We start from the raw sequence: 5421 nt of genomic DNA on the forward strand, positions 1-5421 counted from the left end.
ACTAAGGAGGAGGAATCTGACTCTGGTAGCTCTCCATTATATCATTTTTAGGAAGAAGAGTAAGATTAAGAAATCAAAACATTATTCTGGCTGGGTTGCGTTGAATCGAGCCAAGCTGTATTTGATTCATGTTATGAACCAAAAAAATTCTGATGATCTGAATGCAGATTATGTCAATATCACTACTTCTGTCTTTATTGCTAAAGGGGAAGAAGATTTGCAAAGCACAGCCTCAACTCAAACAGTGACATCTGCTTAATCTTTTCCTTCTCAACCCCTGAGTTTAAATCTTCACCAACATAGCTTTGAAAAAAATGTCACTTACAGTGATAAATCCCTTAACATTGACTTTAGAAGAAAGCTTGTATAGCTTTCTCTCTTAAAATAACTTTTAAAAATAACTTTTCTGCAATTAAAGATAAAGATAAGTTCAAAAAGATGTTTATGAAGCGAAAGTAGTGAAAATCATCTACTCTGATCTCATTTTCTGTGACTCAAACCAGAAAGTCTAAATTCAACATGCCAAGTTAATCATTTGTTGTTAGGTCATGGCCTTCAGTAAAAACCTTCAAGCCACCAAGAGAGACTGCAGCTGTCATTCAAGAATGAGCCACCTCAAGAGGGGTCATAAAGGTCCACTTGACCTGTCTCAACCAGAGAACAAGTGGGGCCAGGAAAATCTACTCTGTAAATCTCAGAAGCCTCTAAACACAGATGTGACAGCATCTTCGCAGGCCCTGCAGGTGAATTCTTGGCCTGGCTTTAGAAGGAAGTATGATGTAAATACACTTGCAAAAGACAGCAGTGTGAGTCTGCCTTGAGCAGAAAGAGATCCGGAGGGAGGCACAGGAGGGAGGCTGCTTGATTATGGTGTTTGTGGGTGGGCTGGCCACGGCACTTCCCTGCCTATTCTGCAGTTGCTCTGCTTACGTGTCTTAAAGAGTTTATTTCCACACCATCTAGAGGAAGATTTAGAGGACAAATGAAATCATGATATGGGTGAGATAAGGTTATGAGTGTTGTTCACTAACAAATCTATTCAACTTTACAGGCCTGAGGCTGACAGTTCAGCTGCAAACACTCACTGGGAGTGGATGGCATGTGGGGAAAATAAAGAGAGATCAGATTGTTACTGTGTCTGTGTAGAAAGAAGTAGACATAGGAGACTCCATTTTGTTCTGTACTAAGAAAAATTCTTCTGCCTTGAGATTCTGTTAATCTATGACCTTACCCCCAACCCCGTGCTCTCTGAAACATGTGCTGTGTCCACTCAGGGTTAAATGGATTAAGGGCTGTGCAAGATGTGCTTTGTTAAACAGATGCTTGAAGGCAGCATGCTCCTTAAGAGTCATCACCACTCCCTAATCTCAAGTACCCAGGGACACAAACACTGCAGAAGGCCGCAGGGACCTCTGCCTAGGAAAGCCAGGTATTGTCTGAGGTTTCTCCCCATGTGATAGCCTGAAATATGGCCTCACGGGAAGGGAAAGACCTGACCATCCCCCAGCCCGACACCCGTAAATGGTCTGTGCTGAGGAGGATTAGTATAAGAGGAGGGCATGCCTTTTCCGCAGTTGAGACAAGAGGAAGGCATTTGTCTCCTGCCTGTCCCTGGGCAATGGAATGTCTCCGTATAAAACCCAATTGTATGTTCCATCTACTGAGATAGGGGAAAACCGCCTTAGGGCTGGAGGTGGGACAGGCGGGCAGCAATACTGCTCTGTAAGGCATTGAGATATTTATGTGTATGCATATCTAAAGCACAGCACTTAATTCTTTACCTTGTGTGTGCTGCAGAGACCTTTGTTCACCTGTTTATCTGCTGACCTCCTCTCCACTATTATCCTATGACCCTGACACATCCCCCTCTCCGAGAAACACCCAAGAATGATCAATAAATACTAAGGAAACTCAGAGGCCGGCGGGATCCTCCGTATGCTGAACGCTGGTCCCCTGGGTCCCCTTATTTCTTTCTCTATACTTTGTCTCTGTGTCTTTTTCTTTTCCAAGTCTCTCGTTCCACCTAACAAGAAACACCCACAGGTGTGGAGGGGCAACCCACCCCTTCAATGGCACCCATTGCTTTACCAGCCATTTCCTCAGCGAGTGAGCAAATACACACTTCAGGTGAGACAGTCCTTCTCTCACTGTGTCAGTGCCTGTGTTTTTGGCCAAAGGTAATGGCTTCAACCTAAAGTGGCTCAGATAGGGGGATTTAATTCCTCACATACAGAAACCCGGGATAGTTGATTCCAGGGTGGCTCAACTCTCATCAGTCTGTGGCTCCATCACGTCATTATGGTCAAGAGCCATTTTCTGTAATAAGATTGTTTGAGTTCGGGAGCCAGGCCTGCCCCTGAGCTTCTTTCTGTCTCAGTTTCTCCTTTTGTAAAATAGGGTAACAATGGTATGTTAACATTGTAAGGATTAAATGAGTAAATTTGTGTAAATAATGTAGAAAAGTGCTGGTTCTATAGTAAGTGCTCTGTGAGTAGTAGCTAATAATGTTACCAATAAATGTCAGCAGCCTGTCCTACTCTGATATCCTCAGCTCTGGCATTTCACCAGGGTGGAATTCTTCTTCCTGCTCTGACATTCCAACCATATAGAATTCTTATGTGATCCCTTGGATGAATACAGTGTCATGTGTAGATGCGGCACACCCCACAGAGAAGGAACATCCTTCCTTTTAGTTATGAAAGCCTTTCCTCAAAGTTCCCTAGCTTCTCAAACTATCTGAGATGAAGAATTAGTTTGTTTTTATTTTCAATCCATTATGAATCAATATTTTTGTAAACTACAATACAAATCAACAAATTAATGAAGGAAAATATATACAAATCCAAGCTTCAATTATTTATTATTATTAGATTTAGCAAGCATAAAATTAGTCCATTAAATTACTATAAACATTTTTAGATGCAAAAATGGCAATCTAAGTCCATGAAGTGGCACCATATTTTGTGTGACTCTGTTTAAGCAGTTATCACTGGAGTGTACCCAAGGGCCAATGCTGGGTCACATGGCTAGGCTAACACAATCTCTGGAAGAAGAAGAAGACCATCGTGACTGGGCCAGCAAAGCCTCTGCTCCATTGGTTCCATTCAACACACACACACACACACACACACAAACACACACAGTGCCTACTGCGGGCAAACAGCTGGCCAGGCAGCCTGGGAGGTGTCCCATGTGGAATGCTATAAGGTGGCATGCTATAAGACAATAGGCACAAAATAATATTTTGACAAGGGTCCCAGAAACGGCTTTGTACAGCAGGGAGGGTTCAAGCTGACTCTTGGCTAATGGTGTGTGCTGCTTCAACACAGTGACATGTGATGGGAGAAGATACTCCAGGCAGCAGAAACAATGAGCTGCAGCTGAGGGGAAAGAAAGTTGTTCAAGGTACAGGGAGTAAAACCAAAAGGCCGTCATGCCAAAATACTTATTGTAGAGAAAAAAATAATGTGGCAGACCATCTTCTCACTACTTAGTGTGGGATTTGGAATGGGCAAAATAGTGGACCTCCAAAGATGTCCACACCCTAATCCCTGAACCTGTGACTATGTCACCTGCCTTGAGAAAAGGAAGTCTGCAGATGTGATGAGCGTTCTGGACCCTGAGGTGGGGGGTACCCTGAATTACCCAGGGGGGCCTTGTGTGTGGACGTGGGAGGCAGAAGCGTGGGCCAGAGAGAAGCCATGACAAGAAGAAGAGGCAAGAGCGATGGTGGCGTGTGAAGGGTGTGACACCCCATGTGGATTTGGAGACACAGGGGACTTATGTGCAAGAACCAGGAGGAAATGCTGGGAGGTAAAGATGATTGCCAACTGCTGGCCACACGGAAACACTGCCCTCAGCAGTGCCACTTCAGGGGCTGAATTTTGCCAACACCTGAATCCGCAAGAACATGTCTTCTCCCCTAGAGTTTAGTGAAAGGACACAGCCCTTTGAACCTTTTGATTTTAGCCTGGTGAGGTCCATACCAGACTTTTGAGCCACAAAACTCTAAAATAATATATTTGCATTGTTTGTAAGGAACAACATTTGTAGTAATTTGTTGTCACAACAACATGAAACTAATATAAAATTCATCTGTAATTTCTCTTTTTTAATGTGGTGTTCTGGACCCGACCTTCAGAGGTTCTGGCTTGTCAACTGGGGCTAGTTGTTTTAACAAGCTTTCCAAGTGTTTTTGTCTCATTCCCTTTCTTAGAGTTGGAGAACACAGAGGCCCAAGCTCTCATGGGGAATCAGCATCAGACAAGAAGCTGGCCTCCAGCTCTCCAGATGCCCAAGCCTGGGCTTTCCATCAAGAAGTGTAAAGAAGAAGCTCTGTAAAGTGGAGATGGCTTTGGAGTAAGATTAACCAGGTTTAACACCTAATCTTGTTACTTATTGCTGTGTGCCCTTGAATAACTTACTTAGCCTTTCTGGGCCCCAGCCTCCTCATCTTATAGTCAGTGATATAAACACCTACCTCTCAGGTTTAAATGATCTCATTGTGCAAACCATTCACGCAGTACCTACCACATAGTAAATGCTAAAGCTATTATTAGATATGTCCTGCATTTTACCAGGCAAGAAAATAGGAGCCACATAACTTCAAAATCTCTCCATACATTGCTGATGGCTGCATCTGTGTCCTCCCAACACAGTGCTCCTCAGTCAGGAAGAACAAGTGAATTCATTTGTTCATTAAATATAGTACAATAATATTGACTCCACCCAGAAATGTTCATTCTATTGTGTGCCAGGCACAGTAGATATGAGAAAGACCTGTCACTGCCTTCCAGAGGAGCTCCCAGTCCAGGGGAAAGTGTTTCTCAAAGTGTGAGACATTAGAACCCCTGCCCTGGGTAAGATAAGAGGGAATTGTAGGTGACTCACAGACACAGTATAAAGTCACATCACTGCAGAGTGAAAAGTTACTGCATGTTCAGTCACCTTCCATGCTTCTGATTACATTTAGGAAAAGGTCTGAGTTTGGTGCCAGCCTGTCTGTCGCCTTTCTATCACTGGCTGATCTCAGATATAGAGCAGGTCTCATGCCTGCTTTGACAGGCGACAGAGTTCTGCTGGAACTGAAGAATGTTGTCCAGTCACCGCTTTGGCAACTGTTATTGGTGTCTCATCTACAGAGGAGATGCTAAGCTTCCTTGTAAATTTTATTGATTTATTTTCTATTTCTGATTCGGGTGGTTGGTACATGGGCAGGTTTGTGGCATGGGTGTATTTTGTGATGTTGAGGTTCGGGTTTCTAATGGTACCATTGCCCAGGTAGTGAATACAGTACCTCGTAGGCAGTTTTTCAGCCCTTACCCTTCCTCCTTCCTCCCCACGTTCAGAGTTCCTAGTATCTATTGTTTCCTTCTTTGTGTCCCAACTTTTACCTCCCAACTTATGAATGAGAACATGTGG

General features: G+C 43.6%; 1 annotated feature.

Moving 5' to 3' along the window:
• Positions 1007-1552: an enhancer, noted in NCBI's record as "NANOG hESC enhancer chr19:28621443-28621988 (GRCh37/hg19 assembly coordinates)". NCBI's record gives its function as "activates a minimal SCP1, AML or CMV promoter by ChIP-STARR-seq in naive H9 embryonic stem cells {active_cell/tissue: H9 hESC(naive)}" and the evidence as "EXISTENCE:reporter gene assay evidence [ECO:0000049][PMID:30033119]".

The sequence above is a fragment of the Homo sapiens genome, chromosome 19, assembly GCF_000001405.40.
Source record: "Homo sapiens chromosome 19, GRCh38.p14 Primary Assembly".
NCBI lineage: Eukaryota > Metazoa > Chordata > Mammalia > Primates > Hominidae > Homo > Homo sapiens.